This window comes from Homo sapiens, chromosome 3, assembly GCF_000001405.40.
Source record: "Homo sapiens chromosome 3, GRCh38.p14 Primary Assembly".
NCBI classification, from domain to species: domain Eukaryota; kingdom Metazoa; phylum Chordata; class Mammalia; order Primates; family Hominidae; genus Homo; species Homo sapiens.
Genome location: NC_000003.12, coordinates 120,373,368 through 120,386,174, shown reverse-complemented (window position 1 = coordinate 120,386,174; position 12,807 = coordinate 120,373,368). Strand labels below are relative to the sequence as shown.

At 41.0% G+C, this 12,807-nt stretch overlaps 1 pseudogene across 2 annotated transcripts in view, besides 1 other annotated feature; it reads right to left on the bottom strand.

Moving 5' to 3' along the window:
- Positions 1 to 12,807, bottom strand: part of BTNL12P (butyrophilin like 12, pseudogene) — a 73,965-nt pseudogene that overhangs the window by 37,204 nt on the left and 23,954 nt on the right. The gene's annotated exons all lie outside the window — the stretch shown is intronic.
- Positions 7,812 to 8,418: an enhancer, noted in NCBI's record as "NANOG-H3K27ac-H3K4me1 hESC enhancer chr3:120096604-120097210 (GRCh37/hg19 assembly coordinates)". NCBI's record gives its function as "activates a minimal SCP1, AML or CMV promoter by ChIP-STARR-seq in primed H9 embryonic stem cells {active_cell/tissue: H9 hESC(primed)}" and the evidence as "EXISTENCE:reporter gene assay evidence [ECO:0000049][PMID:30033119]".

Below are 12,807 nucleotides of genomic sequence, written 5' to 3'. Positions count from 1 at the left end.
CTCCTCACTGTGTCTTCGCTTGGTGGAAGGGACAAGGAACCTCTCATAGGCCTCTTTTATAAGGGCACTAATCCCATTCATGAGGGCTCCACCCTTATGACCTAACTACCTCCCAAAGGCCCCACCTCCTAATACTATAACTTTGGGAGTTAGGATTTCAATATTTGAATTCTGGGGAGATACAAACATTCAGACTATAGCAGAGGAGAATCTATGTACAATGCATAGAACTAGGAGAGATTTGGAAGGTGGGTTATAGGAATAATAAAGACTGAAATCAATTGGGCAAATCAGAAAAGTTCAAGGGTTAGTCTCACCTTTGAATTTCCAAGATTTTAATTGCCTTTGTGCAGTAATAGCCAGAGACTTTAATAACTATAAGAACTGTTATCCATAATTATTTTTTAAAAGATATCTCTTTCTCAGGTTCTTCCTTGTGCCAACAAAGTGCCCATGTAACATCATGCTATGGTTTGAATGTGTCCCCCAAATTTCATGTGTCAGAAATGTAATCCCCAATTTCATATTGTATTTGGAGGTGGGGCCTTTGAGATGTAATTAGAATTAGATAATGTCACAAGGGTGGGGCTCCCAGGATGGGACTGGTGGCTTTATAAAAAAGGAAGAGAGACCTGAGCTGACATACACACTCTTACCCTCTCACCATGTGATACACTCTGCCATGTTAATTTGCAGCAAGCAGGCCCTCACTAGATGCCGGTGCCATAGTCTTGGACTTCCCAGCCTCCAGAACTGTAAGGAATAAATTTCTTGGCCAGGCACAGTGGCTCACGCCTGTAATCCTAACACTTTGGGAGGCCGAGGCAGGCAGATCACCTGAGGTCAGGAGTTCGAGACCAGCCTGGCCAACATGGCAAAACCCCATCTCCACTAAAAATACAAATATTAGCTGGATGTGGTGGCACATACCTGTAATCCCAGCTACTCGGGAGGCAGAGACAGGAGAATCGCTTGAACCCAGGAGGCGGAGGTGGCAGTGAGCTGAGATTGCACCACTGCACTCCAGCCTAGGTGGCAAAGCAAGACTCTGTCTCAAAAAAAAAAAAATTATTTCTTTATAGATTATCCAGTTTCAGGTATTCAGTTATAGCAACAGGAAACAGACTGAGACACATTTTACCAAAAAATAAAAAAAAAATCTTGCTTAGAGGAAACCTAGGGCAGGTTTTCTCTGCTCTGAACTCCCTTACAAGTCATCCATCGCTGAAGCATCACACCAATGAAATATACACAAAATGGACAGTTCATTAGACTTTTAATCTTCTTTCATTTTTGCAATTAAAATTTTTGAATTTCACTCAGAATTTAACATGGGAGATACATAAGAGAAAATAAAAGTAAATCTTATAAATAAAAGACAGAAATAGAGATAAAGAAACAAGATCTGACATACAAACCTAAGGGAGGCAAAATGTGGAAGCTTCTATAGTTTTTGTCAACATGCAACATACTCGACCTATTACTACCTTACTTTTTTCTGTTTATGATAGGTAGGGGTCTAGGACAAAATATCCACAAGAGAAAACCAGGAGCACCTGTGGCTAAAGGCAAGATGATTAGACTCTTGGGCAGATGTTATTCAAATCTCTTAATAGGTATGGGGATACTTTCTCCCTGCAAAGAAAGAAAGAAAGAAAACAGGATAGGCCTGAGTTTTGTGTTAGAGGCAGATCCTACATTTATCTACAGTGCATTTCTTGAAGTCACACAGGAAAGAATAGCTGTACAAAGTAAATTCTTTCTTCTCCCTAAGAGTGGTAGCCCTCAACTCATTCACTGTTACGCAGTTCTCCTTCATTTGTAAGATGAAATTCTAATTTACCCATTCATTAATTCAACAAGTATTGGTTGGGGAAGAATTAGAGAAAAGAGAAAAGGGGAGTGAATGGGATGAAATTTTTACTAACTTTCAGAGAGAGAGAAGAGAAACAGAAGCAAACTAGGCCCTGGGCTGTAGCCTAGCACTCACTCTTGTGTCTGTTAGGCTTATGGGACTGAGACACATGGAAGAGGAGCTGATGTCATTAGGTCAGCAAATGCTACCACATTCTAGTATGCTCTGCAAGGAAGTTATCCCAGGCCAATGAAAGACTGTAGACTTTGCTTGTTAGTTTGTGAGCCCACAGGAGTAGAAGGGAGGAAGATGCTCCTGATGTACCCTAAGAAAAGGAATCAAGGGGTTGCACATTTCCATTTCAAGGTTCTAAGTTATTTTGTATCTCTGGAGCCATGATAATAAGACTTGGGAATTAAGAGCTAATGCATATTCCAAGAGCCTATTATATATGCCAGGAGCCAGAAAAGAGAGAATTTCATCCCTGCTTATGAGAGACTCACAATCTTGTGAAAAGATAAATAATAATGAATTTCAGCAATGCAATAAGTTTGCAAATATACTCTGAGGCACTATAGAGTGTGTTTTTCCAGGGGAGTCCCACTGCACTCCTCCAGGGGTGCCCATCACATTAGAGTCTATGTGAATAGAGCACCCTTGAGTTGTAATATGTTGTCGTGCTTCTCATTCTCCAGCTTCCACACCATAATCCATATGAATCCAAAGGGACTTCCAGAGTTTTCCTTATTCTAGATAAGTCTGCTCCACCCTGGCCTCTACACCTCTATAACTGAGAGTGAATAATGGTACCTCAGAACTCTAATCTTGGCAATATCCTTGCCTCTCCTCCCTGCCCCTTCTCTCTGCCTCCCACACACAACATCAACAGCTTTACCATCATGGTTTGTATTGAGACCTCCAAATCTAATCTCATCACATTTTTCCCCAATTCGTACTTAACCACAAGAAGCCCAAGACCCCCAGTTCATCCTTCATCTCAGGGACTCTGAGCCATATGGCTCTGTACTTTCCCTTTTCTGACCCCAAAACCCACACCTAACATTTGAAACCCTTCTATTGTGCCTTCTAGAACTTGCTATTAATCACCAACAAATCCCTTCTACTCTGAGCTTCTGTTAACATTTCCCTCACCTTCTGGTTTTCTAACTGAAACTTGGCTCCCCTCTGAGGACACTTCCTCCATAGCCCTTTCAAGTGGTGCTGGTTTTCTTTACAACATCTTTCATAAACTGGATCCTTCTTGCTCTTTCCTCTACAAACCTTCAGTTTAAAACATCATGTCATTAGACTTTGCTATCCACTACACTTTCATTACAGTTTTCTATTGTTCCTCTCCCCACCCCTACCATTCCTCGATTTTAGCTGCTGACTTTGTCAAGCTCTACATCGCTGCTTCTGTCATAACTCTTGATGTCACTGTCTCATAAATGATCTATCCCATGACCTCCTTTGGATCTTGACTTCCTCTCCTCCAAGGATTTTTTTTTCTCTATTTTATTTTAGCCACTTTCCTCATGGTTAGAACTTAGATCTTATCACTGGCAATAATCACGACTTCTCCATTATCTCAATTTCAAGCATCCTACTCTTCAGCAACTACCTTCTATCCTTTCAACTCACTTTCTCTGATACTCCAATTCTAACAATGTTTTGGTTGCCATCAGGGCCTAAAATCCAATGATCCTACCACTTTTTCACTGTGCTTCTCTCATTTTGCATCCTTCATCCTCCCCAACCCAGCTTAGATTCCATGGTTGATCATTATAATCACTTTCTAGCATGCAGGTCTTCCTCTGTCATGCTTGTACGGCAAAACCTCAATATTCAATTAACCCAACTCTCCTCCCATTCTGTGTTTGCACTCAAGCAGCTAAATTAGGCTGGATAAAAATATACAACCACACTGAGTTTTCTCACTTTATTTTTTAATTTGTGTTTTTATTATTATTATTATTATTTTGATATAGAGTTTTGCTCTGGTTGCCCAGGCTGGAGTGCAATGGCACGATCTTGGCTCACTGCAACCTCTGCCTCCCGGGTTCAAGTGATTCTTCTGCCTCAGCCTCCTGAGTAGCTGGATTACAGGCATGTGCCACCACGCCCAGCTAATTTTGTATTTTTAGTAGAGACAGGGTTTCTTCATGTTGGTCAGGCTGGTCTCGAACTCCCGACCTCAGGTGATCCACCTGCCTTGGCCTCCCAAAATGTTGGGATTACAGGTGTAAGCCACTGCACCCAGCCTTTCTCACTTAAAATTCATGACTTTGAACCTCAAAAGTGCCTTTAGCACTACCCGGGATGCCTGGTATATTTCTTTAGTTAGCATCTCCTACTCTCCTAGTTGACTGTTTTCATTCTTTTTCCTTAATACTGCCATCCCCAGCCTCACACTCAGCTGATGAATTGCCTCTGGTTTCACTAAGAAAATTAGAAGCAATCAGAAGAGAATTTCCAGAAGCTTTCCCTACCACAGTCTCCACCTTTCTGCATCTATGTCCATATACTTTATCTTACCTCCTTGTACATAATCTTACCTAAGGCAAACCTTGTACTTGTGCATTAGACCCTATCCTTCTGCCTCCTGAAAGTCATTGCTCAGCAATTCTTCCCCTTCTTGTGTAGCATCAAGTTTACCCTCTCCGTCTGTCCATTATCATACTATTTATCCCATCTAAAAGAAAATGAAAAATGACACACTATAACTTCTCCAGTTAATACACATTTCTGTGCTGCCCCTCTTTGAAGCAAACTGTCCTCGGTGTTAGCATTCCAGTGATCTGTTCTCAGTGCCCAAAAGTTGCCTACATTCCTTCAATCAAATGATCTATTCTCAGTCTTCATCTTACTTGGCCCATCAGTAGTCTTCAACACAGTCAAACACTCCTTCCTCCCTGAAATGCTTTCTTCATTTGCTTTCAGGTCATGACACTTCTCCTAGTTTTTCTTCTACTTTACTGTCAACTCCTTATTCTTCTTCACTGGTTTCTGTTTGCCTCTCTGACTATAAATGTTGGAGGGTTCCAGGGCTCAGTTCCTGAACCTCTACTCTTCTTCGTCTGTGTCTACTTTCTTGATGAGCCCATCTGGTCTCGTAATTTGAAAAACCACCTATAGGTTGACATCTCCCAGGTTTATGTTTCAAGCTTAGACCTCTCTCCTAAACTCCAGTTTTATATCCAACCACCCATTCAGCATTTCCCCTCAAATGTTTCAAATGGGCATCTCTAATGTAATATGTCCCAAACCAAATTCCAGGACTTCTTAATCAGAATAAATGGTGGTTCTGTTCTTCCAGTGGCTCAGGGCAAAAGCTTTAGTCATCACTTGACTTCTCTCCCTTATACCCCTCATCTAATTTGTCAGCAAATCATATTTGCTCTACCTTCAAAAATATATACATAATCCAATCTCTTCTCACTAATTCCACTACTAACACATTGAACCAAGACACCATCTTCTCAAAAGTACCCATTAAGATCCTTATAAAATATAAGTCACATCATTTCACTCCTCTGTTCAAAACCCTCCAATGGCTTTCTTCCATCTCTTCCCACAGTATGAGCAAAAGTCAAAACCCTTACAATGGACTTTATGACGCCACGCAATCTAGCCTCCTGTTATCTTTCTGATCTGAACTCCTACACTGTCTCATGAACTCTCTTCATTGCAGCCACTGGCCTCCTGGCTGTTCCTCAAATCCACCAGCCCTTGCCCAAAATCCACCAGCCCTTGCCCACTTCAAGGCCCAGTTCCCTCACCTCCTTCAAATCTTTGTTAAAATTTAACCTCAATGAGCTTTCTCTGGACAGTCTATTTAAAATTACAACTCTCATCCCAGGCACAGTGGCTCATGCCTGTAATCCCAGCACTTTGGGAGGCCAAGGCAGTGGATCATTTAAGGTCAGGAGTTCGAGAACAGCCCGTCCAGCATGGTGAAACCACGTCTCTACTGAAAATACAAAAATTAGCCAGGCATGGTGGCAGATGCCTGTAATCCTAGCTACTCGGGAGGCTGAGGCACGAGAATCATTTGAACCCAGGAGGTGGACATTGCAGTAAGCCAAGATCGTGCCACTGCACTCCAGCCTGGGTGGCAGAGCAAGACTCTGTCTCAAAAATAAAATAAAATAAAATAAAACAAAATAAAATAAAATAAATTACAACCCTCCCTACGCCACTCCCCTCTTTCTATTCTGCTTTCTCTGCTTTATCTTCCTCTGTATGACTATTCATCATCTGATATATGAAATATGTTTTACTTTATAATATACATACAGAAAAGTACATTTAAGTGTCCAGCCCAATTAATTTTCACAAACTGAATACAACCATGTAACTAGCATCCAGATCAAGAAACAGAATATTACCATCACCCCAGGAGTCTCTTCGTGCTGTCTTCCAGTTTCTGTCCTCCTCCCAAACTCCAAGGGTAACCACCATCCTGACTTCTAACAGCATAGATTAATTTTTTCTGTTTTTGTATTTCATGTGAATGGATGTAAACAGTGACATACTGTATATTTTAATTATCTTTTCATTGGTTGCCTATTTCTCCCCATTACTAGGATGTAAGTTTCTTGAGGGCAGAAATTTGTTTTGTTCACTGTTGCATCTCCAGTGCCTAAAAGAGTATCTAGCACAGTTTGAGTATCATAAAACAAGTATTTGATGAGTGAATGAATGAAATATTGAATAAATGGAAATGTGACAGAGACAGAGTTAAGACACAACCTACCAAATAAATAGAAAGATATCACATGTTCATAGGTCAAAAGACTTAATATTGTTAGGATGACTAATATAGTTTGGATGTTTGTCCTCTCCAAATTTCATGTTGAAATGTGACCCCCAATGTTGAAAGTGGGGCCTAATGGAAGGTGTTGGATCATGGAGGCAGATGTTTCATGAATGGCTTGGTGCCCTCATGGCTATCATGAATGAGTTCTTGCTCTATTCATTAATGTGAGAGCTTGTTGTTTAAAAGAGCATGGCAACCCTCCCTTTCTCTCTTGCTCCTTCTCTCACCATGTGACATGCCTGCTCCCCCTTTGCCTTCTGCCACAAATAAAAGCTTCCTGAGGCCTCACCAGAAGCTGAGCAAATGCTGGTGCCATGCTTGTACAGTCTGCAAAACCTTAAGCCAAATAAACCTCTTTTCTTTATAAATTATCCAGCCTCAGGTATTCCTTTATAACAATGTAAAACAGACTAACCCAATGGCAGTACTATCTAAATTGTTCTGCAATTCCACATGATACCTGTTAAAATCCCAGCTTGCTTTTGACCAGAAGTTGAAAAACCTGACCATAAAATTCATATGAAAATGCAAAAGATATAGAATATTCAGAAAATTTTTGAGAAATAACAAAGATGAAGAATTCACACTTCCAATTTTCAAAACATATTATAATGAGATGAAATTTGAAATTAATAACAGAATGAAATTTAGGAAATACACAAATATGTGGAAATTAAATAATACACTCCTAAGTAACCAATGAGTCAAAGAAGAAATCTCAAAAGAAATTAGAAAATATTTTGCAATGATTGAAAATGAAAACACAACATACCAACATACTAAAATTTATGGATACCACTAAATTAGTGCTCAGGGGGAAATTTACAGCTGGAAATGCCTATATTAAAAAAAAGAAAGGTGGGAGGAGCCAAGATGGCCGAATAGGAACAGCTCTGGTCTACAGCTCCCAGCGTGAGCGACGCAGAAGACGGGTGATTTCTGCATTTCCATCTGAGGTACCGGGTTCATCTCACTAGGGAGTGCCAGACAGTGGGCGCAGGTCAGTGGGTGCGTGCACCGTGCGCGAGCCGAAGCAGGGCGAGGCATTGCCTCACTTGGGAAGTGCAAGGGGTCAGGGAGTTCCCTTCCCGAGTCAAAGAAAGGGGTGACGGGCGCACCTGGAAAATCGGGTCACTCCCACCCGAATATTGCACTTTTCAGACCGGCTTAAAAAACGGTGCACCACGAGATTATATCCCGCACCTGGCTCAGAGGGTCCTGCGCCCACAGAGTCTCGCTGATTGCTAGCACAGCAGTCTGAGATCAAACTGCAAGGCGGCAGCAAGGCTGGGGGAGGGGCGCCCGCCATTGCCCAGGCTTGCTTAGGTAAACAAAGCAGCCTGGAAGCTCGAACTGGGTGGAGCCCACCACAGCTGAAGGAGGCCTGCCTGCCTCTGTAGGCTCCACCTCTGGGGGCAGGGCACAGACAAACAAAAAGACAGCAGTAACCTCTGCAGACTTAAATGTCCCTGTCTGATAGCTTTGAAGAGAGCAGTGGTTCTACCAGCACGCAGCTGGAGATCTGAGAACCGGCAGACTGCCTCCTCAAGTGGGTCCCTGACCCCTGATCCCTGAGCAGCCTAACTGGGAGGCACCCCTAGCAGGGGCACACTGACACCTCACACGGCAGGGTATTCCAACAGACTTGCAGCTGAGGGTCCTGTCTGTTAGAAGGAAAACTAACAAACAGAAAGGACATCCATGCCAAAAACCCATCTGTACATCACCATCATCAAAGACCAAAAGTAGATAAAACCACAAAGATGGGGAAAAAACAGAACAGAAAAACTGGAAACTCTAAAACGCAGAGCGACTCTCCTCCTCCAAAGGAACGCAGTTCCTCACCAGCAACGGAACAAAGCTGGATGGAGAATGACTTTGACGAGCTGAGAGAAGAAGGCTTCAGACGATCAAATTACTCTGAGCTACGGGAGGACATTCAAACCAAAGGCAAAGAAGTTGAAAACTTTGAAAAAAATTTAGAAGAATGTATAACTAGAATAACCAATACAGAGAAGTGCTTAAAGGAGCTGATGGAACTGAAAACCAAGGCTCGAGAACTACGTGAAGAATGCAGAAGCCTCAGGAGCCGATGCGATCAACTGGAAGAAAGGGTATCAGCGATGGAAGATGAAATGAATGAAATGAAGTGAGAAGGGAAGTTTAGAGAAAAAAGAATAAAAAGAAATGAGCAAAGCCTCCAAGAAATATGGGACTATGTGAAAAGACCAAATCTACGTCTGACTGGTGTACCTGAAAGTGATGGGGAGAATGGAACCAAGTTGGAAAACACTCTGCAGGATATTATCCAGGAGAACTTCCCCAATCTAGCAAGGCAGGCCAACGTTCAGATTCAGGAAATACAGAGAACGCCACAAAGATACTCCTCGAGAAGAGCAACTCCAAGACACATAATTGTCAGATTCACCAAAGTTGAAATGAAGGAAAAAATGTTAAGGATAGCCAGAGAGAATGGTCGGGTTACCCTCAAAGGGAAGCCCATCAGACTAACAGCGGATCTCTCGGCAGAAACCCTACAAGCCAGAAGAGAGTGGGGGCCAATATTCAACATTCTTAAAGAAAAGAATTTTCAACCCAGAATTTCATATCCAGCCAAACTAAGCTTCATAAGTGAAGGAGAAATAAAATCCTTTACAGACAAGCAAATGCTGAGAGATTTTGTCACCACCAGGCCTGCCCTAAAAGAGCTCCTGAAGGAAGCGCTAAACATGGAAAGGAACAACCGGTACCAGCCGCTGCAAAATCAAGCCAAAATGTAAAGACCATCGAGACTAGGAAGAAACTGCATCAACTAACGAGCAAAATAACCAGCTAACATCATAATGACAGGATCAAATTCACACATAACAATATTAACTTTAAATGTAAATGGACTAAATGCTCCAATTAAAAGACACAGACTGGCAAATTGGATAAAGAGTCAAGACCCATCAGTGTGCTGTATTCAGAAACCCATCTCACGTGCAGAGACACACATAGGCTCAAAATAAAAGGATGGAGGAAGATCTACCAAGCAAATGGAAAACAAAAAAACGCAGGGGTTGCCATCCTAGTCTCTGATAAAACAGACTTTAAACCAACAAAGATCAAAAGAGACAAAGAAGGCCATTACATAATGGTAAAGGGATCAATTCAACAAGAAGAGCTAACTATCCTAAATATATATGCACCCAATACAGGAGCACCCAGATTCATAAAGCAAGTCCTGAGTGACCTACAAAGAGACTTAGACTCCCACACATTAATAATGGGAGACTTTAACACCCCACTGTCAACATTAGACAGATCAACGAGACAGAAAGTCAACAAGGATACCCAGGAATTGGACTCAGCTCTGCACCAAGTGGACCTAATAGACATCTACAGAACTCTCCACCCCAAATCAACAGAATATACATTTTTTTCAGCACCACACCACACCTATTCCAAACTTGACCACATACTTGGAAGTAAAGCTCTCCTCAGCAAATGTAAAAGAACAGAGATTATAACAAACTATCTCTCAGACCACAGTGCAATCAAACTAGAACTCAGGATTAAGAATCTCACTCAAAACCGCTCAACTACATGGAAACTGAACAACCTGCTCCTGAATGACTACTGGATACATAACGAAATGAAGGCAGAAATAAAGATGTTCTTTGAAACCAATGAGAACAAAGACACAACATACCAGAATCTCTGGGACACATTCAAAGCAGTGTGTAGAGGGAAATTTATAGCACTAAATGCCCACAAGAGAAAGCAGGAAAGATCCAAAATTGACACCCTAACATCACAATTAAAAGAACTAGAAAAGCAAGAGCAAACACATTCAAAAGCTAGCAGAAGGCAAGAAATAACTAAAATCAGAGCAGAACTGAAGGAAATAGAGACACAAAAAACCCTTCAAAAAATTAATGAATCCAGGAGCTGGTTTTTTGAAAGGATCAACAAAATTGATAGACCACTAGCAAGACTAATAAAGAAAAAAAGAGAAAAGAATCAAATAGATGCAATAAAAAATGATAAAGGGGATATCACCACCGATCCCACAGAAATACAAACTACCATCAGAGAATACTACAAACACCTCTATGCAAATAAGCTAGAAAATCTAGAAGAAATGGATAAATTCCTCGACACATACACTCTCCCAAGACTAAACCAGGAAGATGTTGAATCTCTGAGTAGACCAATAACAGGAGCTGAAATTGTGGCAATAATCAATAGTTTACCAACCAAAAAGAGTCCAGGACCAGATGGATTCACAGCCGAATTCTACCAGAGGTACAAGGAGGAACTGGTACCATTCCTTCTGAAACTATTCCAATCAATAGAAAAAGAGGGAGTCCTCCCTAACTCATTTTATGAGGCCAGCATCATTCTGATACCAAAGCCAGGCAGAGACACAACCAAAAAAGAGAATTTTAGACCAATATCCTTGATGAACATTGATGCAAAAATCCTCAATAAAATACTGGCAAAACGAATCCAGCAGCACATCAAAAAGCTTATCCACCATGATCAAGTGGGCTTCATCCCTGGGATGCAAGGCTGGTTCAATATACGCAAATCAATAAATGTAATCCAGCATATAAACAGAGCCAAAGACAAAAACCACATGATTATCTCAATAGATGCAGAAAAAGCCTTTGACAAAATTCAACAACCCTTCATGCTAAAAACTCTCAATAAATTAGGCATTGATGGGACGTATTTCAAAATAATAAGAGCTATCTATGACAAACCCACAGCCAATATCATACTGAATGGGCAAAAACTGGAAGCATTCCCTTTGAAAACTGGCACAAGACAGGGATGCCCTCTCTCACCACTCCTATTCAACATAGTGTTGGAAGTTCTGGCCAGGGCAATTAGGCAGGAGAAGGAAATAAAAGGTATTCAATTAGGAAAAGAGGAAGTCAAATTGTCCCTGTTTGCAGATGACATGATTGTATATCTAGAAAACCCCATTGTCTCAGCCCAAAATCTCCTTAAGCTGATAAGCAACTTCAGCAAAGTCTCAGGATACAAAATCAATGTACAAAAATCACAAGCATTCTTATACACCAATAACAGACAAACAGACAGCCAAATCATGAGTGAACTCCCATTCACAATTGCTTCAAAGAGAATAAAATACCTAGGAATCCAACTTACAAGGGATGTGAAGGACCTCTTCAAGGAAAACTACAAACCACTGCTCAATGAAATAAAAGAGGATACAAATATATGGAAGAACATTCCATGATCATGTGTAGGAAGAATCAACATCATGAAAATGGCCATACTGCCCAAGGTAATTTATAGATTCAATGCCATCCCCATCAAGCTACCAATGACTTTCTTCAAAGAATTGGAAAAAACTACTTTAAAGTTCATATGGAACCAAAAAAGAGCCCCCATCGCCAAGTCAATCCTAAGTCAAAAGAACAAAGCTGGAGGCATCACGCTACCTGACTTCAAACTATACTACAAGGCTACAGTAACCAAAACAGCATGGTACTGGTACCAAAACAGAGATATAGATCAATGGAACAGAACAGAGCCCTTAGAAATAATGCCGCATATCTACAACTATCTGATCTTTGACAAACCTGAGAAAAACAAGCAATGGGGAAAGGATTCCCTATTTAATAAATGGTGCTGGGAAAATTGGTTAGCCATATGTAGAAAGCTGAAACTGGATCCCTTCCTTACACCTTATACAAAAATCAATTCAAGATGGATTAAAGACTTAAACGTTAGACCTAAAACCATAAAAACCCTAGAAGAAAACCTAGGCATTACCATTCAGGACATAGGCATGGGCAAGGACTTCATGTCCAAAACACCAAAAGCAATGGCAACAAAAGACAAAATTGACAAATGGGATCTAATTAAATTAAAGAGATTCTGCACAGCAAAAGAAACTACCATCAGAGTGAACAGGCAACCTACAAAATGGGAGAAAATTTTCACAACCTACTCATCTGACAAAGGGCTAATATCCAGAATCTACAATGAACTCAGACAAATTTACAAGAAAAAAACAAACAACCCCATCAAAAAGTGGGCGAAGGACATGAACAGACACTTCTCAAAAGAAGACATTTATGCAGCAAAAAAACACATGAAAAAATGCTCACCA